General features: G+C 42.0%; 2 protein-coding genes across 6 annotated transcripts in view, besides 5 other annotated features; one reads left to right on the top strand and one right to left on the bottom strand.

Moving 5' to 3' along the window:
- The window catches only part of TTI2 (TELO2 interacting protein 2), a 14,414-nt gene extending 3,483 nt beyond the window's left edge, over positions 1 to 10,931 (top strand). For 3 of the 5 annotated variants that reach the window (NM_001102401.4, NM_001265581.2, NM_025115.5), the window contains 5 exons: positions 2,332 to 2,424; positions 5,718 to 5,905; positions 6,081 to 6,224; positions 9,163 to 9,325; positions 10,376 to 10,931. In NM_001102401.4, coding sequence (NP_001095871.1) covers positions 2,332 to 2,424; positions 5,718 to 5,905; positions 6,081 to 6,224; positions 9,163 to 9,325; positions 10,376 to 10,480 — 693 coding nt within the window. In that variant the 3' untranslated portion in view covers positions 10,481 to 10,931. The remainder of the gene's footprint in view (positions 1 to 2,331; positions 2,425 to 5,717; positions 5,906 to 6,080; positions 6,225 to 9,162; positions 9,326 to 10,375) is intronic. The other 2 variants (NM_001330505.3, NM_001440381.1) reach the window with 1 other exon arrangement.
- MAK16 (MAK16 homolog) lies at positions 8,391 to 24,471 on the bottom strand. Its single transcript, NM_032509.4, has 10 exons — positions 24,432 to 24,471; positions 21,226 to 21,275; positions 21,024 to 21,133; positions 20,855 to 20,919; positions 20,514 to 20,665; positions 19,314 to 19,368; positions 14,037 to 14,111; positions 12,912 to 13,028; positions 12,356 to 12,421; positions 8,391 to 11,221 (listed from the first exon to the last, which is right to left on the bottom strand). The coding sequence occupies exons 1-10, from the start codon at positions 24,444 to 24,446 to the stop codon at positions 11,024 to 11,026; spliced, it is 903 nt and encodes a 300-aa protein (NP_115898.2). The 5' UTR covers positions 24,447 to 24,471; the 3' UTR covers positions 8,391 to 11,023.
- Positions 24,464 to 24,651: a silencer, noted in NCBI's record as "fragment chr8:33342520-33342707 (GRCh37/hg19 assembly coordinates)". NCBI's record gives its function as "represses an EF-1alpha promoter that drives an FKBP-Casp9 reporter gene in an ReSE screen in K562 erythroleukemia cells {active_cell/tissue: K562}" and the evidence as "EXISTENCE:reporter gene assay evidence [ECO:0000049][PMID:32094911]".
- Positions 24,464 to 24,691: a biological region, named in NCBI's record as "ReSE screen-validated silencer GRCh37_chr8:33342520-33342707".
- Positions 24,542 to 24,691: an enhancer, noted in NCBI's record as "active region_27219". NCBI's record gives its function as "activates an Ori minimal core promoter by ATAC-STARR-seq in GM12878 lymphoblastoid cells {active_cell/tissue: GM12878}" and the evidence as "EXISTENCE:reporter gene assay evidence [ECO:0000049][PMID:35858748]".
- Positions 24,679 to 25,315: an enhancer, noted in NCBI's record as "H3K27ac hESC enhancer chr8:33341856-33342492 (GRCh37/hg19 assembly coordinates)". NCBI's record gives its function as "activates a minimal SCP1, AML or CMV promoter by ChIP-STARR-seq in primed H9 embryonic stem cells {active_cell/tissue: H9 hESC(primed)}" and the evidence as "EXISTENCE:reporter gene assay evidence [ECO:0000049][PMID:30033119]".
- Positions 24,862 to 25,051: a silencer, noted in NCBI's record as "silent region_19097". NCBI's record gives its function as "represses an Ori minimal core promoter by ATAC-STARR-seq in GM12878 lymphoblastoid cells {active_cell/tissue: GM12878}" and the evidence as "EXISTENCE:reporter gene assay evidence [ECO:0000049][PMID:35858748]".

Genomic DNA, 25,315 nt, shown 5'->3' with positions numbered 1-25,315 from the left:
TTACTTATTTGTATTTTCTCCTTATATTTTTCCTCTATCCACCTGGTAGAAGTTGTATCCTATAGGTAATGTAATAACTAAAATGATAATTATAGAAGAAACAGGAAGGCATGGGTCATTATCAAACTGAATAACCAGATGTTGAGAACTGGTCAACAGTTGATTTTCTTTCTTTCTTTTTTTTTTTTTTTTTTTTTGAGAGGGAGTCTCACTCTATCACCCAGGCTAGAGTGCAGTGGTGTGATCTTGTCCCACTGCAACCTCCACCTCTTAGGTTTAAGCAATTCTCCGCCTCTGCCTCCCGAGTAGCTGGGATTACAGGTGCGTGCCACCATGCCCAACTAATTTTTGTATTTTTAGTAGAGATGGGGTTTCACCATCTTGGCCAGGCCGGTCTTCAACTCCTGACCTTGTGATCCACCTGCCTCAGCCTCAGCCTCCCAAAGTGCTGGGATTACAGGCGTGAGCCACTGCACCTGGCCTACTTCCTTTCTTTCTTTCTTTTTTTTTTTTTTTTTTTGAGACATTATCACTCTGTCGCCTGGGCTGGAGTGTGATCTTGGCTCACTGCAGCCTCTGCCTCCCGGGTTCAAGTGATTCTCTTGCCTCAGCCTCCCTAGTAGCTGGGGATCCCTAGTAGCAGCCACCACACCCAGCTAATTTTTGTATTTTTAGTGGAAATGGGGTTTCACCATATTGGCCACGTCCGTCTCGAACTCCTGACCTCAGGTGATCTGCCTGTCTTGGGCTCCCATAGTGCTGGGATTATAGAGATGAGCCACCCCGCCCGGCCTACAGTTGAGTTTCAAGGACGAAAACAAAACAAACAAAATCAGAGCCTGAAAGGGACTATATCCAAATGTGGAAGCTATTACTCAAGGAAAAATTTTTTAAAAAAACTTTGTACTATGGAGCTTTTAAAATATACACAGAAGTAGAGAGAGTGGTATAATTAATCTCCATGTACCTGTAGGGGAGAGCCAGAGATCACCTCCAACCCTGCCCCCCTGCCCTTTTTTTTTTTTTTTTTTTTTTGAGGCAGAGTCTTGCTCTGTCGCTTACGCTGGAGGCTGGAGTGCAGTGGTGTGATCTTAGCTCACTGCAACCTCTGCCTCCCGGGTTCAAACGATTCTTGTGCGTCAGCCTCTAGAGTAGCTGGAATTACAGGAACGCACCACCATGCTCAGCTACTTTTTCTTTTTTTTAAATTTTTTGTAGAGGTAGGGTCTCACCATGTTGGCCAGGCTGGTCTTAAACTCCTGGCCTCAAGTGATCCACCAACCTCGGCCTCCTAAAGTGCTGGGATTGATTATAGGCGTGAGCCCGGCCTCAGCCCCCTTTTTATCTCTTAGTGGGCTCTTTTCCTGGATCTAGAAACCAAATTGACAACAGGCAGATTAGCAAGAGGAAACTATACACATTTTATTAGTTTTACGTGTACATGGGGATCTTCACAAGAGAGAGTATTCTGAAGAAGTGGCCAAAGCAATATGCTTTTATACTTTTTAGACTAAGAATGATAAATTTTTCGTCTTTTTTTTTTTTTTTTTTTTTTTTTTTTTTTTACTACCGCTAGCCACATTTTCTTTGTCTTGTCAGAAAAAATGACAGGACAAAGAAAATGTGGCTAGGGGCAGTACATTTTCCTTTTTTTTTTTTTTTTTGAGACAGGGTCTTGCTCTGTTACCCAGGCTAGAGTGCAGTGGCACAATCATAGCTCACTGCAGCCTCAACCCCCTGGGCTCAAGTGATCCTCCCACCTCAGCCTCCCAAGTAGCTGGGACTACAGGCATGCACCACCAGGCCAACTAATTTTTTAATTTTTTTTTTTGGTAGAGACAGGGTCTTGCTCTGTTGCCCAGGCTGCTGTCAAACTTGGCCTTAAGTGAGCCTCTCACCTTGGCTTTCCAAAGTGCTGGGGTTACAGGTGTGAGTCACCATGCTTGGCTCTAGGGTAGTCACTAGGAGATACATGGTTGTAGGTGGTGGGGGGATGGATAGGTGGAAGATAAAGGTTACTTTGTTCAGTTTATGTAGGTCCATTGCAGCCTTCAATTCCAAGTCTCTGTAAGGGCTGTTTTCTTACCCTGGTATGGAAAGCATACCCCACCCAGAGGAATCTTTTATCACTTGCTGCATGCAGAAAGAGACAAGTCAGCTCACCCTTTCTGAATCTACAGTTTCTGCAATATTTTCAACTCGAAACAATCATGCATATTTTGGGATGGCATGTTCTTCATGCTTCATACCCATAATCCAATTTCAAAGATAGTCAACATGTGCCAATCTTGGGAAACTATTCTTTTAATTTGACGATTTGTCTGGTTGCAGCCAGCTGCTGATTTGCTCCAGTATAACAGAGCCCAGGTCCTATACCATGCCATTTCCAACCACCTGTACACACCAGAGCACCACCTCATTCAGGTAATAGTATGATTTCTTCATAACTGGGTCTGGATTCTCTGAATTTGAGTAGAAGGTTGCATTGTGTGAGTAGTAGTAATTGAGAGACATTTTCCTGCCTTGGAAAGTGAGGATGATAACTAAAAGCGTTGCCAAGTTAAAAATATCTCAGCACCAAGCAGGCCTCCACATTCCTGAGTCTCCACAGATAAGACAGTGTTTTTTATTCATCTGAGTCAATTGTATATTACTTTGGGCTGGGCATGGTGGCTCACGCCTGTAATCCCAGCACTTTGGGAGGCTGAGGGAGGCAGATCACCTGAGGTCAGGAGTTCGAGACCAGCCTGGCTGACATGCCAAAACCCCATCTCTACTAAAAATACAAAAAAATTAGCCGGGCATGATGTTGTGCATCTGTAGTCCCTACTACTCAGGAGGCTGAGGCACAAGAATCATTTGAACCCGGGTGGCGGAGGTTGCAGTGAGCTGAGGTCACGTCACTGCACTCCAGCCTGGGTGACAGTGCGAGACTCCATCTCAATTTAAAAAAAAAAAAAAAGCCTGGCACTGTGGCTCACACCTGTAAATCCCAGCACTTTGGGAGGCCGAGGCGGGCGGATCACGAGGTCAGGAGATCAAGACCATCCTGGCTAATATGGTGAAACCCCGCCTCTACTAAAAATAGGAAAAATTAGCCAGGCGTGGTGGCACGTGTCTGTAGTCCCAGCTACTCGGGAGGCTGAGTCAGGAGAATCTCTTGAACCCAGGAGGTGGAGGTTGCAGTGAGCCGAGATCATGCCACAGCACTCCAGCCTGGGTGACAGAGCGAGACTCCATCTCAAAAAAAAAAAAAAAAAAAAGTACGTTACTTTGGAGGCAGCTTTATGTCTGAAAAAGTCTATTTTTATTAGTTAAGTGTTCTGTTTTGCCTTTTATCAGCACACACACTTGAAACTTCTTGCATGTTAGATATCGGAGTGTGATTTATTATTTCATCCAACAGACATGGTTCCAAGAGTAAATGAACGGATAGGGATTTTTGGCTTTAAGATAAGCTTTGGAAAAGACATTTATGTAAATACGAATATGTACTTAGATGTCTACATATATATACAGTACAGAATGATGACTGCATTAGAAGAGGTTTCTATAAAGCGCAGTGGGTGGCCAGGCGCGAGGGCTCACGCCTGTAATCCCAGCATTTTGGGAGGCCGAGGCAGGCAGACCACCTGAGGTTGGGAGTTCAAGACCAACCTGACCAACATGGAGAAACCCCGTTCTACTAAAAATGCAAAATTGCTGGGCATGGTTGCTCACATCTGTAATCCTAGCACTTTGAGAGGCTGAGGTGGGCGGATCACGAGGTCGGGAGATCGAGACCATCCTGGCTAACATGGTGAAATCCCATCTCTACTAAAAATGCAAAAAATTAGCCGGGCATGGTGGCACGTGTCTGTAGTCACAGCTACTCGGAAGGCTGAAGCAGGAGAATCACTTGAACCCAGGAGGCGGAGGTTGCGGTGAGCCAAGATCGCGCCACTGCACTCCAGCCTGGTGACAAAGTAACACTCCGTCTAAAAAACAAATGCAAAATTAGCCAGGCATGGTGGCGCATGCCTCTAATCCCAGCTACTCAGGAGGCTGAGGCAGGAAAATTGCTTGAACCCAGGAGGCAGAGGTTGCAGTGAGCCGAGATCATGCCATTGCCCTCCAGCCTGGGCAACGAGAGTGAAACTACATCTCAAAAAAAAAAGAAAAAAAAAAGGTGCAGTGGCTTTCAAGCAATAGGTAACTAACTAGGTTTGGGTTGACTTTAGGAGGTTTTGGGAAGGAGGTGATACTTAGCTTTATGAAGGATGAATAAGTAAAAGTTTCTTAGGAGGGAGAAAGAAACTACAAAGACAGAAGAAACAAGTTATATAAAATGAGAGGTGGAAGCAACGTTGTTTCTTTTTTATGCCTTACTTCCCTCCTTTCCCCCTCCCCACCCTGCTGCCTTTATTTTTATTTTATTTAATTTATTTTTTTGAGGTGGATCTTGCTCTGTCATGCAGGCCGGAGTACAGTGGCGCGATCTTGGCACATTGCAACCTTCGCCTCCCAGGTTCAAGCGATCCTTCTGCCTCAGCCTCCCTAGTAGCTGGGATTACAGGCAGGTGCCACCATGCCCAGCTAATTTTTGTATTTTTAGCAGAGACGGGGTTTTGCCATGTTGCCCAGCCTGGTCTCAAACTCCTGACCTCAAGTGATCCGCCCGCCTTGGCTTCCCAAGATACTAGGATTACAGGCATAGGCCACTGCACCCAGCCTCTTTTTCTTTTTACAGTATTTTAAATACTGGGTATTGAGAATCCAGATTGTAACAGCCGGAAAGGCTGGGGTTCTTAAGGTGGTAGAGAAAATAAATTTTAGAAAACCAAAACACCAAGAGAAAAACCAAAGGTCCCAGGAAAGTTAAAAGGAAGTACCTGAACCAAGCTTGTCCAAGCCATGGCCTGCATGCATCCCAAGATGGCTTTGCATGCAGCCCAACACAAATCTGTAAACTTTCTTAAAATGTTGTAAGATTTTTTTTGCATTTTTTTTTTAAAGCTCATCAGCTGTCATTAGTGTTAGTGTATTTTATATGTAGCCCAAGACAATTCTTCTTCCACTGTGACCCAGGGAAGCCAAAAGATTGGATACCCCTGGCCTAGGGATAAATCCTAGCACTTTAGGAAGCCAAGGCGAGTGGATCACTTGAGGCCAGGATGGTGAAACTTTGTCTCTACTAAAAAATAGAAAAGTTAGCCAAGTGTGGTGGTGCACACCTGTAGTCCCAACTAGTTAGGTGGCTGAGGCACGAGAATCGCTTGAGCCTGAGAAGCGGAGGTTGCAGTGAGCCAAGATTGCACCACTGTCCTTCAGCCTAGGTGACAGAGTGACTCTGTCTCACAAAAAAAAAAAAAAAAAAAAAAAAATGTGTAAATATCATGTATCACTAAGTCACTTAGACTTAGTGACATAGTAACAGTAGACTTAGATTCCTAAAATCTGGATTAAAGTCCCAGCTCTGCCATTTTTCCGATTTTATAAATTAGCAAAGAATGGTCCTGAGGAGAATGTATTGATTTGAGACTGTCAGATGGAGATTAAGAATGTAAAAAAGTTTGAAAATGTAAAGTAATGTGCAGTTCATATATGATTACTAGTATCTTAGAATTCTCTGGTATGGACCCTAAGGACGGTAGATTAATGAAGTTCTAGAGAAGTCAGTGAGTATTGTAAATGCAAATGGATGAACTATGCACCGTCCTTCCATTCCTTCCTCCTAGGCTGTGCTCCTGTGTCTGCTGGATTTATTCCCCATCCTGGAGAAAACCCTGCACTGGAAAGGAGATGGAGCTCGACCCACCACCCATTGTGATGAGGTCCTGCGGCTGATCCTGACCCACATGGAGCCAGAGCACCGCCTTCTTTTACGCAGGACCTACGCAAGAAACCTGCCGGCTTTCGTGAACAGGTGAGGCCCTGGGCTTTTATTTATTATTATTTTATACAGACAGGATCTTGCTATGTTGCTTGAGCTGCTCTCGAGCTCCTGGCCTCAAGCAATCCTCCCACCTCAGCCTCCCAAAGTACTGGGATTACAGGCATGAGCCACTGCACTGGCGTCATATTTTCTCTTTCATCTTTAGGTTGGGGATCCTAACTGTCCGGCACTTAAAGAGGCTGGAGAGAGTCATCATTGGTTATCTGGAGGTTTATGATGGACCTGAGGAGGAAGCTAGACTGAAGATATTGGAAACCCTAAAACTTCTCATGCAACATACTTGGCCCAGGTAATAGCAGCCTTAAGGTGCAAAACTCAGCCGATTTTCTCTTGAGAACTTGCTTGGATGTATTTAATACATTCAGTACAAAGTATTAAATGTATACTATGTATTTGAATACCTCCCATTTTCACACACCTATAGGATTTTAAACTGAGAAAATGGCATTAGAAAGATAAAATATACTATAGTTACTTGAGGTGCTCATAGTTGACTCTTTTACCAGGTATCAGTTCCAGATTCTGACAGTTAAATCGCTTCTCTTTGAAACTCTAGTATATCTTTTTTGTTTTTTTTTTTTTTTTTTTTGAAATGGAGTCTCACACTGTCGCCCAGGCTGGAGTCCAGTGGCGCGATCTCTGCCCACTGCAACCTCTGCCTCCTGGGTTCAAGTGATTCTCCTACCTCAGTCTCCCAAGTAGCTGGGATTACAGGCGCCCACCGCCAGGCCCGGCTAATTTTTTGTATTTTCAGTAGAGATGGGGTTTCACTATGTTGGCCAGGCTGGTCTTGAACTCCTGACCTTGTAATCCACCCGCCTTGGCCTCCCAAAGTGCTGGGGTTACAGGCGTGAGCCACCATGCCCAGCCTTTTGTTTTTGTTTTTGTTTTTGAGATGGAGTATTGCTCTGTCACCCAGGCCGGAGTGCAATGGCGCGATCTCAGCTCACTGCAACCTCTGCCTCCTGGATTCAAGTGATTCTCCTGCCTTAGCCTCCTGAGTAGCTGGGATTACAGGTGCCCTCCACCATGCCTGGCTAATTTTTAAAAAATTTTTAGTAGAGATGGTGTTTCACCATGTTGGCCAGGCTGGTCTCGAACTCCTGACCTCGTGATTTCCCCTCCTCAGCCTCCTAAAGTGCTGGGATTATAGGCGTGGGCCACTGTGCCTGGCTATATATCTTAAGAATGGTTTAGATTGGTGTTTTGCAGAATCTCCATCTAGGTACTCTTTGATGCCCCACAGGAAAAAAAAAAAAATTCTGTGGTCAAATAGGTTGGGAAACCATACAGGTTGTACCTCTCTCTAGATTTAGAATGCATATTAGAAGATTAAAGGTCATTTAGAAGTGTTGCAATAAAACATTTGCTTAACTTTGTTAATCCTAATGTTCTTTAAATCTAATTGAGAATAGAGTACTTCATAGCACATCATTTAACATCTGCAGAGCAGTGATCAGAATACCAATCTAGAGGCCAGGTGCGGTGGCTCACGCCTGTAATCCCAGCACTTTGGGAGGGCAAGGCTGGTGGATCACCTAAGGTCAGGAGTTCAAGACCAGCCTGGCCAATATGGTGAAACCCCGTCTTTACTAAATATACAAAACTTAGCCGGGCATGGTGGCGCGCACCTGTAGTCCCAGCTACTCAGGAGGCTGAAGCAGTAGAATCACTTGGACCCAGGAGGCAGAGGTTGCAGTGAGGTGCAATGGAACCACTGCACTCCAGACTGGGTGACGGAGCGAGACTCTGTCTCAAAATATAAAAAAAAATAATAAAAATTTAAAAAAAGCATACTAATGTAGGATATACTTGCTTGGAAATCATTCCAACTCTGGCTTGAGGTAGGTGTCAGGAACTGGAACCCAAACTGTGGAGTCAGCAGAAGCATCTCTTGCATAGCTGAAAATTGAATTCAGCCAGAGAATCTAGTGCCCCAACAACATACAGTAGCTATTCTGCACCGTATTCTCTCACTTCCTTATAAATGTGCAAGGAATCCAGAGTAACATTTCCCCATGACAACCTTTCCCTTAGTCATATTGGTAACTAGGTTGCATTTGTTTACTATCTTTCTCCCTACGGAATTATAATCTCCAGGATAACGGAAAACCACATCTATTATATTCTCCCAAAGTATGTTCAGTACCTAGTATTAGGTATACAAATATTCAAAGAATGAATGGACTGGAAGAGAATGAATCAATGGATGAATAAAATCGAATCAGATTGTCAGGTCTTTAAAGAGCAGAGACCAAGATTCCAAGAAGGGAGAGTGAATAAATGTAGGGAGGTAGAAAAGGAATATGTGTGTATGCGTATGAGGGGGTGAAGCATGGGAAATGGAAAACAGAGCCGATTATAAGTTGAATAACGAGGGCTGAGAGGCACCCAAACCATAGGAAAATGAGGAGTATTTAGATAGAGATGAAAACTTTTTTCTCCCAGTCACGCATCTGTCCATAAATATGATTTATTGTACATTTCACATTGTATTTTCACATTGTAAGTTAAATTATTTTCCACCTTTCATTAAAGTTTTTTTAGGGTTTTTTGTTTATTGTGGTAAAAATACATATAAATTTTCCATTTTAAAGTGTACAGTTCAGTGGCATTAAGTACAGTCACAATATTGTGCAGTCACTAGCATTGTCCATTTCTGGAGCTTTACCAAGGCGATGAAAACTTTTAGAAAGGTTAATAGTTACAAGTAAGTAGGCTGGACTTCACTGATGATGAGCTAGGATCTGAAATTAAATGACAGAAAATTCAACTTGACACAGTCCCAGAAGCCAAGCTCATTTCCCTCACTCTAACTTCCAGGCCTAAGATGGCATTAAAGTTAAAGGATTCAGGGCTCTCTCCAAGCATAGTTCAGTTAATAGAGTTGAAAAATAAAAGTATAGGCCCTTGGTTGGGGAGATCCTGGTTTCCCCTTCTCAGCCCATGAAGGAGCTGTTGCTTACAGTAGAACCAAGCTTCTGGAAGGAAGAGAGCAGTGTGGCAGAGGGTGTGTCTGTGTGTATAGGCAGTATGCTAACAGGAGACTTGAGGGTAAGAAATCTAGAGGCTGTCTTTGGTTCTGTTTTTAGGTCTTTTTCATTTAACTTTGACCTAAGTTCCTTAATTTAGGAAATGATAGCTTTCCACTTGACAGTCTTTGAAGTCTCTTCCAATTTTAATATCCAGATTTAGAGTATGAACATAGCTTTTCTTCCTGATTCCAGAGTTTCCTGCAGACTTGTGGTCTTACTGAAGGCCCTCTTGAAACTGATTTGTGATGTAGCAAGGGATCCAAACCTTACACCTGAGTCTGTTAAGAGCGCCCTGCTACAGGAGGCCACAGACTGCCTGATTCTCCTGGACCGCTGTTCTCAAGGACGGGTAAAGGTAAGGCAGACTGAAACTTGGTTTCAGTTGGGCCTCATTATCCTTATGTAATTCCCATGATTGATTATAATTTACTATGTATGTGCCTGACCAAGTCTGGAAATGAACATGGAGGGTTTTAGATCTCCATATGAGCCCTCTAGCCTCAAAAGAGCTTGATCTTTTTTCTTATTCATCTTTTAAAGCTATTCAGAACCATTTAGAACTAAAGGCAGGAGGATCAGCACATGTCACTGGGGCTAAGGACGAGACAGTATGGGCAAAAGCATTATGATCAAAAGTTTGTAAAATTTAAGTTCTGTTCTAGTCTTCTGAATTAAAAAAAAAAAGTAAAAATAATGGGCTATAAGCTCCCAGGAATAATAACATAAATAGAGCATTTCAGATGTTTCCAGTTTTTTAGGGACAACCATCTTTTAGGTAGATGTTTTTCCCTATTCTTAATTTATCTACATGGAAATTCTTCCTTTGGTTTCATATTCCACAAAAGTTAACTTCTCAAAGCCACAGCATATAATAGCTGTGTACTTCTATGTATTTAATAAACTACTGCCTCATTTCTTACCCCTTTTAGAAATCTTTAGTTGAAGATTGAAGGTAGCATGAAAAGAAATTCATGCCATAAGTCACTGGACAATCTACCCAGCAGGAAAAAAAAATTCATATCCTAAAAATATGTAGAGATAGTATGAATTGTTATTTTACCAGTTTATTCAAACTATTTCATCTTAGCTCTTTAATCTTGGGCAGTTTTCAAGCCCTAGATCCAACTGAATTTGCCTTGGCTGGAATTCTGCTGTTTCATGAGCCAGCAGGAGATTTGCAAGTACATTAACACAGTTTTTAAAGTAGCACCTTCAATACATGAGAGCTATATAAATTTAAAAATAATAAAAAACCAACTAATACCTATTCTGCTTAGTGACCTGTCCCTAAGTGTCATCCATTCTTTCCTCCTTTGAATATGATACCAAGGAAGAAGAATCAAGCAAAAGGGGAAAGTAATTAAAAAAAAAAAAATATCAAAGCCTGTTTGGTTTCATGTTTCAGGGTCTCCTGGCCAAAATTCCCCAAAGCTGTGAAGACAGAAAAGTGGTGAACTATATCAGAAAAGTGCAGCAGGTTTCTGAAGGCGCACCCTACAATGGAACTTAAGACTTGTATTACTTTCCCAAGAGGAAAGGATTTTCTTCCCATCCCAATTTGTATGAATGGAGTTATTTAAGAAAAAAAGATATTTTTACACGAAACTTTGTAAGTGAAAGCTGCTTTTTCCTTCCTTCCTTTCCTTTTACCTCCATAAGAATAGGGAAAGTAGAACAAGAAAAAATTGAACTCCTTCCATTTCTAAATAAAGTTTGGGAGAAAAAAGGACACCAAGTAATGTAGCATTTAAAATTTAGAAATATTTACATCCGTCATCTCATCCCAGATTCAAGAACTCATCTGTTAAGTTTCTCGGGCACAAGCTGTTACTTCAACACATATGCTATAAAAACACTCTTGTTCACAACTTAGCTTTCTTCACTCACTCCAGATTTCTTGCCCCACTGACGTGGCATAAATAATAAAAACACAAATATTGTGTTCAGTACAACACAAAAGAGCAAAAACTGGAGGTGTGTATGTGTTTAAGATAAAAAAAAAAAAAAAACAGTTCTGCATGTTCAGTCCTGGGTATAAATGCTGAAAGGGAAATCACGTGGTTTTGGCTTTGGCCACGGGCTCTGTCTCCTGCTCGTATTCTATTTCCACATAGGCTCGTTTTCTCTGCAGTGGTCCTCTCAAGGGCATTTTGCCTTTGTGTTTCGCACTAAGGGCCTTTTCTTCCTCCTCCTCACTGGAGGATTTACCATCCTGATCTTCATCACTGCTGGCATCCAGTTTATCCATATCCTATTACGGGGAGAGAAAAGATAAAGGAAGAGGGAAAACACTAGATTTCTCCAAACTCCCTTCCTTGTCCCCTCAATCTAGAACAGACTAGGGCATTGATTTGTCTATGTCTGTGTTCAGAAATTGTCCCTTTCTTTAATTTTTTTTTTTTTTTTTTTTTGAGACGGGGTCTTGCTCTGTTGCCCAAGCAGGAGTGCAGTGGCATAGTCATGGCTCACTGCAGCCTCAAACTGCTGTAGTCAACAATCCTCCCACCTCAGCTTCCTGAGTAGCTGGGACTACAGGCAACCGCCACCACATCCAGCTGAATTTTAATTTTTTTTTTTTTTTTTTTTGGAGACGGAGTCTCGCTCTGTTGCCCAGGCTGGAGTGTAGTGGTGCGCTCTCAGCTCACTGCAACCTCCATCTCCTAGGTTCAAGCGATTCTTCTGCCTCAGCCTCCCAAGTAGCAGGGATTACAGGCATGCACCACCATACCTAGCTAATTTTTGTATTTTTAGTAGACACGGGGTTTTGCTATGTTGGCCAGGCTGGTCTCGAACTCCTGACCTCATGTGATCCGCCCACCTCGGCCTCCCAAAGTGCTAGGATTATAGGCGTGAGCCACCACGCCTGGTCATGATTTTTAAAAAATTTTAGGCCAGGCCCTGTGACTCATGCCTCTAATCTTAGCACTTTGGGAGACTGAGGCAGGCGGATTACCAGAGGTCTGGAGTTCTAGACCAGCCTGGCCAACATGGTGAAACCCCGTGTCTACTAAAAATACAAAAAATTAGCCGGGTGGAGTGGCACATGCCTGTAATTCCAGCTACTTGGGAGGCTGAAGGAGGAGAATCGCTTGAACCCGGGAGGCTGAGGCTGCGATGAGCCCAGATTGCACTATGGCACTCTAGCCTGAGCTACAGAGCGAAACTTCATCTAAAAAAAAAAATTTTTTTTTTTATTAGAGATGAGGTCTCACTATGTTCTTCAGGCTGGTCTCGAACTCCTGAGCTCAAACAATCCTCCCATTTTGGCCTCCCAAAGTGCTGCAATTATAGGAGTGAACCACGGTGCCTGGCCACCTCCCTGTTTTTGTTTTTTTTTTTTTTTTGCTGCAGGCCAAAGGACAATCTTTTTACCCATAAAGCTCACCTCAAAATCACTTATGTCACTCTCATCTACCTCACCATCTTCGACAAATTCTCTTTTCCCCACATCCTATAAATAAAACATAACTGTTAGGTTCAGAATACATAATGAAGATTCAGATTAGACATCTAAGTAAGTACAAAATAACATAATGAGAACCACAGTCTTTTCACTAGGCAATGAAAATTTAGTTCTTTCTAAATTTAATGCTTCTGAATTTTAAAAATTTTAGGGCTACCAGATCATTCTTATTCTTGATTTAAATTATTAGCAATAAAACATCCTCATTATGGTTAAAAACTACATATAGACAGGAAAGGCTTTATAATTTGTCACCTTGCAGGAACAATTTTAGAAGACCAATAAATTAAGACTAAAATTGTTAATGGTTTGTTGGTTAGCCTGAAGAACAGAGCAACCAGTGCTAAACCAAAATTAATCACATGAAAGAAAAAAGAAGACATATCATTTTTGGTTAGCGGACTGAAGATGATATTCTGTTTCTCAGTTTTATACAAATGGTATCTAGTAGGTTTGGCAAAACAAAAACAAGACTTACTTCCTCATCATCATCATCATCATCTTTTTCCTCAGTATCTGAAGAGTCACTCTCTGCCTCCTGTTGTTCCAGGGCTTTGTCGAAGGCATGAATGGGGAAGTTGTAGATGTCGCCATACTGAAGAACATAAACACAGATTGGCTTTAACTACATTTGGATATTACACTTGAAGTTCCACTTTCTGTGGAGAATATTACTTTTTCCTCAGTGATTAAATCAGAATACTTAATTTGATGAGTAATATTTTTAAGTGTAGAGCCAGCAGTGTCTTAAAAAAGCATGTTCTTTTGAACATTTAAATCATCTGCAGTTAGTATCAAATAGGTAACTTCTATGGAGTTACATTTTAAAATAATTTAAAATGTAATAGTCTACAAAACCCATGCATTGGGACAAATGTCATTTTGCTGACAAGGGGAAATAATAAGGAAAAAGCATACTTTAGTCATGTTGTCTGTATAAACAACACTAATTTTTAAAAAGAGAATAAAAACTTATTTCAAAGAGCCTTAAAAGACTAGGGTAATATGCAGGAGAAGCAAAACCCCATGGCTTTTATACAGAAATCTGGAATTGTTGTCTTGGGGAATGGAGCTGAGAATAATGGCAAAAAGGGAAAGGTCTCTTATAGTGAATGGAGTATCAAGGGTAACCAAAGCATTTTATGTGCTTGCATTAATTAAAGCAAGGAAGCCAGGCCGATATGGATTTATTTTATTCCAGGGATAAAATTCGAGTGGAGATCTTCATATCATGTTAAAAAACATTTCCCAGCCAGGCACAGTGGCTCACGAGGTCAGGAGTTCAAGACCAGCCTGGCCAAGATGGTGAAACCCTGTCTCTACTAAAAATACAAAAATTAGCTGGGTGCAGTGGTGGTGCCTGTAATCCCAACTACTCAGGAGGCTGAGGCAGGAGAATTGCTTGAACTTGGGAGGCAGAGGTTGCAGTGAGCCGAGATTGCACCACTGCACTCTAACCTGGGCAACAAAGCAAGACTCCATCTCAAAAAAAAAAAAAAAAAAAAAAAAAAAAAAAAAAAAAAAAAAAAAAAAATTCCCAATATGTCTTAGCAACATACTACCACTTAAAATTTCAGTACCCCAAAGCTAATGGCTTTCTCACCGTATCTTGTTTCAGTCTCTCCAGTAATTCCTTCTCAATGGCATTGTCCAGCTGAGCAGCTATTAATGCCTTTTCCTATAAGGGGGAAAGAGCAAATCTGTTTAATTCATCAGTGCTCATTACTCATCTTATAAAAATGGAAGAAACTACCAAGTTGTTTATAAGAAAGACAATGTAATTATTTCCCCTCCTTGCTAATACTGGCTTTTGCCTTTCCAACGAGATAGATTTCTTCTTCTTTCTCTTGTAAACTTCCTTGGGAACATTTCCATTTTGAAATTCCTATGGTTTTGTAAACAACATTCTAAATTAAATTCTAACACAGGCTTTGATAGATACAAAGCATGTAAGTCTATATACATTTAAGTGTCTCAGAAATAATCTAGCAACTCTGGAGCCAGACTTTGTAAAAGCTGAGAAAAGAGAACAGAAATCTTCATTCGTTTACATTTTCTAAAATCATGCTAGATTCCATGTGACAGAATAGGTAAAAATCTCTTCCTCCAGTGATCTCTCATTGGAGATGACACATGACATCAACCTGTACTACCACACAATAGCCCAGGATGGTGCATTAATTTGATAGTGAAAGTCATAGAGGGTTTTAAAGTGTTATATCTGTAAGTTATGTTAGAATGATTACGTAAAACTGTGTAGGGGCACATGGAAAATTAGCCAGGCATGTTAGCGGGCGCCTATAGTCCCAGCTACTCGGGAGGCTGAGGCAGGAGAATGGTGTGAACCCAGGAGGCGGAACTTGCAGTGAGCCGAGATCACGCCACTGCACTCCAGCCTGGGCAACAGAGCAAGACTCCATCTTAAAAAAAAAAAGGGCTACAGCGATGTTCCATGTTGTTCTCTAGAGTGGGGTGTTTACACTTCAAGGGTATCCGCTGAAGTGTAGGAAGAAAATATTCAAAACTTCCACATATCTCTTTTTCCTTAAAAAATTTAACATCATTACTACTTTTCTTGTACACTGACATTGGTGCCTTGACTCTGTCTATAAAGTAAATAGTTGTGTGTCAGATACAGTGAGCCAGATATCTCAAGGGAGGAATACGGCAGATAGGGCTTGCAAGTGGTGGTCTCACTTGTTTATTTAGACGACTATTTAACTGTTTATGTTTGCTTAGTTAAGCGGATTCATAGATGACACTGAATATTCTGCCAAAGATAGAGAGTAGTTATAAAAGTATGCTGGTTATCTAATGGGTTAGTATTTTTAAAAGTTGTAGAACCAGGCTGGCAAGGTGGCTCATGCCTGTAATCCCAGCACTTTGAGAGGTCGAGGTGGGCAGATCACCCGACGTCAGGAGATCAAGACCAGCCTGACAAACGTCGTGAAACCCCGTCTCTACTAAAAACACAAAAAATTAGCCGGGCAGAGTGGTGTATGCCTGTAATCCCAGTTACTCAGGAGGCTGAGGCACAAGAATTGCTTGAACCCAGGAGGTGGAGGTTGCAGTGAGCCGAGATGGCGCCACTGCACTCCAGCCTGGGCGACAGAGCAAAAGCTGTAGAACCTAAAGATGATCCATGCACTTTTCACAAAAAGAAAAATATTCCAAATTTGCCAATCTTTTTATGTAACCCAGTAGACATTTTTAAAAATAAATACGCTTAATCTGTGTCTTCCAAACAAAAGCAACATTTTAATAGTTTGAGGAAGACAATTGTTTTTTGAAAAAAAAAAAACTTGTTCTGTGAAGGTTGTGAAAAGAAAACTGATTATATCTACATATGGCACTGCTGAAAACATGTCTCCTATAAAAATTGCAATCACACACTTTAAAAATGTGGAAACAGAATATTGTAATGCATTTAAAACTCTTCCAAATCTACATTTTTCAGAGGGTTACAAACTCAATTGGTGAAAATAGAAAAAATTAATTTCTTCTGAAAGGTTTGTAGGAACACCTGTTTGACAACTGGAGATGAAAACTCACTAACTGGACTTGAAAAAAAGCCGCTCCATAACTAATGGAGCATAATGAAAAATTAAAGTACTTGAGACCACCTATCAACAATGCACTTCTCTACAATCCCTCAGTTATGTATGACAGCCCTTCAAGACAAAATCATACTCAGCTAAGAAGCAGACTTTTGTTTCACTACATCACAATTAGTTATAATACACATTGTATTATTAGTGGAAGTGTGTATGTATAATAACATTTATAGCCTGTAATCCCAGCACTTTGGGAGGCTAAGGCGGGTGAATCACCTCAGGTTGGGAGTTTGAGACCAGCCTGGCCAATGTGGTGAAACCCCATCTCTACTAAAAATACAAAAATTAGCCGGGTGTGGTGGTGCATGCCTGGAATCCCAGCTACTTGGGAGGCTGAGGCACAAGAATTGCTTGAATCCAGGAGACAGAGGTTGCAGTGAGCCAAAACTGCACCACTGCATTCCAGCCTGAGAAACAGAATGAACCTTTGTCTCAAAATAAAATATTTATAAATAACATTGGGGAATACATGTTCAAAAATTTTACTGAGGTGAGCACAACTTTGCAGACCAATGATACAGATTTTAGATACATAACTGTGATTAATGGGGACAGAAGCATCAAAAGAAAAGCTATCCCTATCAAAATACCAATGACAAATATAAATATAAAAAAAAGAAAAATACCAATGACATTCTTCACAGAAATAGAAAAAAAAATCCTAAAATTGTTATGAAACCACAAAAGATCTAGGATAGCTAAAGCTATCCCAAACAAAACAGCAAAACAAACAAAAAAAAACAACAAAAAAAACACAAAACAAACCTAGAGGAATCACATTACCTAACTTCAAATTATACTATGGACCTATAGCAACCACAACACTATAGTAATGGCATAAGAACAGACACAGAGACCAATGGAACAGAATAGAGAACCCAGAAACAATTCCACACACGTACAGTGAACTCATTTTCGACAAACGTGCCACGAACATACACTAGGGAAAAGACAGTCTCTTCAATAAATGGTGCTGGAAAAACTTGATCTCCATATGCAGAAGAATGAAACTAGACCCCTATCTTGTGCTATATACAAAAATCAAACCAAAATGGATTAAAAAACTAAGACCTCCAACTACAAAACTACAAGAAAACACTGAGAAAACTCCAGGTCATAGATCTGGGCAAAATTTCTTAATATCCCACAAGCAAAGGTAACCAAAGCAAAAATGGACAAATGGGAGCACATCAAGTTAAAAAGCTTCTGCACAGCAAAGGAAACAACAAAGTGAAGAGACAATCCACTGACTGGGCAAACTATCCACCTGACAAGGGATTAATAACCAGAATACAGGCCAGCGCGGTGGCTCACGTCTGTAATCCCAGCACTCTGGGAGGCTGAGGCAGGTAGATCACCTGAGGTCAGGAGTTCGAGACCAGCCTGGCCAACATGGCTAAACCCCATCTCTACTAAAAATACAAAACAAACAGCCAGGCATGGTGGTGCACACCTGGCATCCCAGCTACTTGGGAGGCTGAGGCACAAGAATCGCTTGAACCTGGGAGGCAGAGGTTGCAGTGAGCTGGGATTGCCCCATAGCACTCCAGCCTGGGTGACAGAATGAGACTCCATCTCAAAAACAAAACAAAACAAAATCCAGACTATATAAGGAGCTCAAACAACTCTATAGGAAAAAATTCTAATTATTGGATTAAAAAGTGAATAAAAGGGCCAGACATGGTGGCTCACACCTGTAATCCCAGCACTTTGGGAGGCTGAAGTGGTTGGATTGCTTGAGCCCAGGAGTTCAAGACCAGCATGGGCAACATAGTGAAGCCTCGTCTCTACAAAATATATAAAAATTAGCCAGGCATGGTGGCATGCACCTGTAGTCCCAGCTACTTGGGAGGCTGAGGCATGAGAATCACTTGAATCCAGGAAGCAGAGGTTGCAGTGAGCCAAGATCGCACCACTGCACTCCAGCCTGGACAATAGAGTGAGACCTTGTCTCAAAAAAAAAAAAAAAAAAAAAAAAGCAGGGGGCAGGGATTGGGGAGGCAAAAGATTTGAGTAGACATTTTTCAAAAGAAGACATACAAATGGCAAACAGGCATATGAAAAGGTGTTCAACATCATTGATCATCAGAGAAATGCAAATCAAAACAATGAAATATCTCACCCCAGTTAAAATGGCTTTTATCTTTTAAAAGACAGGCAATAACAAATGCTAGAGAGGATGTGGAGAAAGGGAACCCTTGTGCACTGGTGGTGGGAATGTAAATTAGTACAACCACTATGGAGAACAGTTTGGAGCTTCCTCAAAAAACTAAAACTAGAGCTACCATACCATCTAGCAGTCCCACTTCTGGGTACAGACCCAAAAGGAAATTAGTGTATCAAAGGGATACCCACACTCCATGTGTGTTACAGCTCTGTTCACGACAGCCAAAATTTGGAAGCAACCTAAGTGTCCATCAATAGATGAATGGATAAAGAAAATATGGTACTTATACACAATAGAGTACTATCCAGCCATTAAAAAGAATGAGATTCTGTCATTTGTAACAACATGGATGGAACCGGAGGTCATTATGTTAAGTGAAAGAAGCCAGGCACAGAAAGGCAAACACTGCACATTTTCACTTATTTGTGGGATCAAAAAATCAAAACAATTGAACTCATGGATATACAGAGTAGAAGGATGGTTACCAGAGGCTGGGAAGGGTAATGGGGGTGGGGATGATTAATGGGTACCCCCGCTAAAAAAAATAGGAAGAATGAAATAAGACCTAGTATTTGCTAGCAGCACAACAGCGTGACTATAGTCAATTATTTAATTGTACATTTTAAAATAACTGTAAGGATAATTGAACTGTTTGTAACACAAAGGATAAATGCTTGAGGGGACGGATACCCAATTTTCCATGATGTTATTACTCACTGCATGCCTGTATTGTATTTCACTGCAGAAATTCCATTTGATTAGAATGCTCAAAATCTACTAAAGGTTTTATGTAGTATGTAAAATATGCAACATCAAAATTCTGAAGTCTGAAATATTTGACCACAAGAAATTCAGAAAAAGGAGTTGTGGATTCTTTCTGTTCTCCATTACATATATCCCCAAAGCACACATACTTTAACCTGTGCTGAAAATCATAATCTTAAAATATGAAAAATTAAATGTCTTAGGCAACTAATAGTTATCTATTAGTGAACCATTATCCAAGGCCTCAACAGTTTACATAATGATGGTGACTGAATCTATAAGAGACCCCCAGAAAGAAAATGTAGAAGGTATGAATATCTCAACAATAAGTTACCTCTCTTCTTTTCTCCCTACGCTCCACCTTCTTACTCAAAGGAACAAGTTTCCTCCTAAGGGAAAGAAAATATATCAGAAAATCCACTGTCATGTGCTGTGTTCCTTTTTAAGGATGAGAAGAAAAAAGGATTGGAATTGGTGACTAAAATGGAAGTCTACTCATGTGCAGGGCAGGATGGCTGAGCTTCAGGCATTCACGGAGGCTAGCGATTCAAACAAGCCTTGGAGCCCAAGGTTGGTGCTGTAGGGCTCAGCTCAATACAGCAAGATACACTAAACGCTTCTAGAAATTTAATACTATAAAAAGTCATATATTTTTACATGTATTTTAATCCGGCCATTTTTGTTCAGGCATTCTGGGATTCTCAGGGCATTCACCATGCTAAAATTAAGACTTCAGTGAACTAAGAAAAAAGAATTTTCTGTCGAAGTCTGACATCATCTTTAGCATTCTATGTAGATCACAGTCAAAAAGCATTAGGGCCTAACAGTCCTAGAGAAGGTATTCTGTTAATTCTGGGGATTTCATATCACTTTTAAAAATTAGTTTTCAGTGAATCCAGAGTAAAGTTCTTACATTCCTGTATAGTCACATGTCTTAGATCATTTTCAAATCTCTAAAGTTAAGATTCCCTCGGGGGTCATAGAGGAAATTTTCTGAAGGCTGGGCATGGTGGCTCATGCCTGTAATCCCAGCACTTTGGGAGGCTAAGGCGGATCGCTTGAGGTCAGGAATTCTAGACCAGCCTGGCCAACATGGTGAAACCCCATCTCTACTAAAAATACAAAAAAAATTAACCAGGCATGGTGGTCCATGCCTGTAATCCTAGCTGCTCAGGAGGCTGAGGTGGGAGGATTGCTTCAACCGGGGAGATGGAGGTTGCAGTGAGCTGAGGTCGCGCCACTGCAAATTCCAGCCTGGGCGACAGAGTGAGACTCCGTCTTAACAAAAAAGAAAATAAAATTTTCTGAAAGATTTTCAGACAAGGAGGGTGATAATCAAGTTGTATTCTACTGTTTTAAAAGTCCTGCCATATCAAAGGGCACACCTTTAGTCAAAGCTAAAGTTTCTCTTTAGTACATCATAACAGACTCCACAAAGTTGAATAGAAAGCCCCGAAGTTTCACAATTTCTCAACTTCAAAACAAGCTCCATAAAAAGAGAGATTTAAAAATAATGAATGATCCAAATACTTACTGTCGCTTTAGTGTAAGTTTTCTAATTCGAATTAGGTATTGGGTGATCTTGGTGAATCTCTGCTTACATTTGTGTCGAATGAAACGGGGCCAGTAAATCAGATTTTCATCTATTTGCTCCAGTGCTTTCTCATAGTTTTTACTAAGCCGGACCTACCAAACAGAAACAGGAAGTTTGAAGGGCAAGTGTAAATGATTCATTAGGTTTTCACTGTCAGTGACACCCATGGCCTAATGAGGATGGCCTCAAAAGTTAATGGTCATGGAATTGGGCATCATGGTCAAGCATGTGGCTTTGATGCTCTTGATCAGCGGTCACTGTAGTTTTGTTGTAAGGCTTACCCGTTCCCAGAGACGCCGAGGAAAAGCCGCTCGTTCTATAACCTTCATATACAAGTAGCACTGTCCTGAAGATAAAGTAAAATAGCTTTAGTGTTATTTACAGAAACTAAAGAACATCCCTGTAAAAGCTGTGGAGCAGTTCTTCTAGAAGTTAAAACTGGGGAGTTACCTTTCTCTTCTTTAATAGTGGCATACTGACTATTTGCCAGGGGACAGGATGACCGATTACACAGTCCAGTCAGGCTATATTCATTTCGGCAGAAGCTCTGAGTCTTGGTTCTAGAATGGGAGAAAAGAAACAAAGATTATAAAATGGGTTGCCAAAGAGGCAACTGAAGGAATCTTTGACCAAGTTGTAAATTGAGACTCACCTTATTTTGAAGGAACAAAATTGCTTGTTTCCTAGTGTATCCCAGATAACCTGCAAGACAAAGTAAAAGCCCATTTCAAATCCTCTGCCCCAAGAGATACTATATTAATTCAAGAAGGCAATGCCCAAGGACAGGAATGAGAGGAAGAAATGTTTTGTAAAATAGCCTGACTTGTTTACTTTTTAAAATACAAACAGCAAGGCCGGGCACGGTGGCTCACGCCTGTAATCCCAGCACTTTGGGAGGCTGAGTTGGGCGGATCACCTGAGGTGAGGAGTTTGAGACCAGCCTGATTAACATGGAGAAACCCTGTTTATATTAAAAATACAAAATTAGCTGGGCATGGTGGCGCATGCCTGTAATCCTAGCTACTCGGGAGGCTGGGGCAGGAGAATCGCTTGAACCCAGGAGAGGGAGGTTGCGGTGAGCCGAGATTGTGCCATTGCGCTCCAGCCTGGACAACAAGAGTGAAACTCCGTCTCAAAACAAAACAAAACAAAACAAAAAAGCCCAGCAGATTCTTATAGAAAAGCTAAATACAGATGAGCAATAATCATAACTCCATTACCCAGAGATAAAATTTCATTACTATTCTGTAAATATTTTTCCAGACTTTTTTTGACATACTCTGTGAAATCACATTTTATATACTTCGTAACTTTCCCTTTTTACTTATGTTCATTATCCATTATTAAAGGCTCTCATGGGCCGGGTGTAGTGGCTCACACCTGTAATCCCAGCACTTTGAGTGCCAAGGCAGGCGGATCACTTGAGGTTGGGAGTTTGAGGCCAGCCTGGCCAACATGGTGAAACCCCATCTCTACTAATAGAAAAATTAGCCAGGTGTGGTGGCAGGTGCCTGTAATCCCAGCTACTTGAGAGGCTGAGGCAGGAGAATCGCTTGAACCCAGGAGGCAGAAGTTGCGGTAAGCCGAGATCACGCCACTGCACTCCAGCCTGGGCGACAGAGTGAGAATCCATCTCCAAAAAAAAAAAAAAGGCTTCATGGTATTAGATTTTTAGATATACATACCATAATTTTATCTCATTGAGGGCAAAGAAAACTATCTACTGCTATCCTCCTGTACTTAATGTGCTCTTTATTCATTCAGCATTATATACTTAATTTATGTAAGGCACTGACATCTCCAAGTCCTGACACACAGTAGCCACTTAAGTATTTGCTGAATGAAAGAAAGTATACTCTTTAAAGAGTTTCGTCTATCTAGTTAGGGGAAAGATATGTAAACAAAGTATCACAAAATAGCAGGTCTAAAGGCCACATAGCATGCGTAAGAGTATGACAGCCTTTGAGTGCGCTGCCTTGAGGAACTGGGGTAAAAAAAAGCTTTACCACTGTTAAAGGAAAAATATGAAGAGGGCAAAAGAATAAAACACACTTTAAGAATTTTATAGGTGTGTCTGGTGGGGGATGGTAGGAAACAGGTAAGAAGAATAAGGGAGCTCTTTTAGGCTTGTGGCTTTAAGTATCATCTCTAAATGGATGACTCCTAAATTGTTATTTTCTGGTCAGACTTCTTTCCTGAGCACCAGATTTTTATATGACATCTCTTCAATATCTAAAAGGCAACATAAATATTAACATATCCACAAGGAGTTCTCAATTCCACATCCCTCGTAAGAACAGTCTTCCCTAGAGTTCCCCCACTTCAATAAATAAAATCACCATTTAACTATGTATTTATATCCCAAATCCTTTGATTTCTTCCTTTTCTTCTTCACTTAATCCATCACCAAAGTCTTGTCAATTATACTGACGTAAAAGGTCTCAAATTCATCAATTTCTTTTCATCTCCACCATTAAATTACTACCTTAGGCGAAGCCACTTTCGTTTTTAAAAAAATTTATTTACTTTAGAGATAGGGTCTCTCTGTCACCCAGGCTGGAGTGCAGTGGTGCCATCATAGCTCACTGCAGCCTCGGACTTTTCGGCTCAAGTAGTCCTTCTGCCTCAGCCTTCGAAGTAACTGGGACCTCAGGCGAACACCACCGCGCCCAGCTAATTTTTTATTTTTTGTAGAGATGGAGTCTCACTTTATTGCCTAGGCTGGAATCGAACTCCTGGCCTCAAGCGATCCTCCAGCCCCAGCCTCCCAAAGCGTTGGGATTACAGGCATGAGCCACTGTGTCTGGCTTGAAGCAACCTTTGTCATACCCTAGTCTCCTTGCTTTCATTTTTTCCCTCCAAAAGTCCTTCACACAGCAACTAGACAACTTTTCACAAACATAGATCATTAAAAGGCCTAAAAAACACTTCCTACAAGATTCTGCATGACCTCGCCCTGGCAAGCATATCTAATTTCATTACCTGTCTTACATTGTCACTTTGATGACCCTTATATTCATTCTCTCATATCTTCAACTCTTTGTACTTTACTGTTCCTACTGCCTGGATTGCTTTTTCCTCAGCTCCTCAGTGACTGGCTTATTCTTATCTTTTAGATCTCAACTCAAACATCTTCTGTTCAGAGAAACCTTCCCTGAGTAACCCTATCTGAAGTGTCCTTCATCATCTCTGGTCTTTCTTTCATAGTATGATTATATAGTGTAATTGTTAACTTATTTGTTCACTTGTTTACTGTGTCTCCCCCATCAGTGTTCCAGGAGAGGTGGGACATTTTTTCTGGTTAACCAAATCCTCAATAATTACCACAATGCCTGGCACACTGTAAGCACACTGTTATTTCTCCAACAAAAAACTCAATGAATGAATCTAGGATACTTCCGAAATTATGACTTAGGCAGAAGTAGAGCAAATGTAAAGAAAAGCCTACACAGGAAACGCAGATGGAAGAGTAACGCGCACATGGATGAGAAGGACGCTTAAACTTGGAGTCAGCTTCGCCAAATCCCGGGCCGCCCCCCACCCCAAGTCCGGAGCTGACAGCTGACAGCTGACAGCATGACGCGACGTCCTGCATTGGTAGGCACGAAGGACGGGACACATCGACCCCATGGGCTGAGGTGACGGAGTCCTGTGCTCACAACCCGGCCGGGGCAGCGGGCAGTAAACCCCTGCTAGACACGCGTGAGAACCTATGTTGGAAAATCGGGGTTCCGGAAGCCTCACATCCAGAGCGGCACGAGGCAACAGACCCGCTGCGTACGCGTTTTCTAAGTGTCCGAAAATGGGCAAAATTCCCTGCGCAAACCCCGGGTGTAAGAACAACCGGAGGAGACTCACATCATCCGACTGCATGGTGTCCGCGGCTCAGCGTGCAACTTCCGGTCGGATCGCGGGCGCAGACATGCTCCTTCCGGGAAACCAGTTCCGGAACGCGCAGCCTCACCTATCTCGAGAAACGCTGAGACTCTCGGTGTTGCGAAGCGTCCCCTGGCAGTCTCGTCGCCGCGCGCGCGCCCCCGCGTCTTCACCACGCTGGCGTCTGCGCGCGCCCGTCCGCAATGCTGGGCTTGTTCATGGGCGCAGCCTGGAGCTGGGAACCCTGTTGGGACCCAGTGCGATCCGCGGGAGGCAGGACGCGCGCAGTCTGCCGAATCCTGGAGCGCGGGGACCGCGGGGGTCGGGCGTGCTTCCCTAGCGCCCTGTTTGTGACCGTTCATGAGGATGGGACCCCTCCCTGTCGGGCCTCCCCTCTGCTGGGAGGAGGCTGGGGAAAGCTGCAGGCGGCGCGGCGGGGCTGGGTCCCCGCTCCTCCGAGTCCCCCGGCCCCAGCTCGCAGCCAGGCCCCGGCCCTGCCCCTCAGACCCTGACTTAGCCACTCCCCACGCCCACGTTGGGTGCGGCACCGGGTCCTGACTTTAGAAACTCAGAACTTGAATTCCTCCTGCTTTGAGAAACCACTGACCAAATGGAAAGAGCATTCCAATAATAATAAACACCTGTGTCTTCCTCATTGCCTATTTGAGACAACAAACAAAGTTGATAAGGGAGGGAAAATACCAAGAAGAAAAGTAGAGGTCTAATAACCCACAAAAACAAATCTGGAAGCCTAACAGCTCTTTTCCGCCAGGGGAAAAAGAAAATCTTTACTAGTTTGTATCGTATTATAGAAGAAAGACTGTCGGCCGGGCCGGGCGCGGTGGCTCTCGCCTGTACCTCAGCAC

This window comes from Homo sapiens, chromosome 8, assembly GCF_000001405.40.
Source record: "Homo sapiens chromosome 8, GRCh38.p14 Primary Assembly".
Classification (NCBI taxonomy): Eukaryota; Metazoa; Chordata; class Mammalia; order Primates; family Hominidae; genus Homo; species Homo sapiens.
This window is presented reverse-complemented; position numbering and strand designations above follow the sequence as displayed.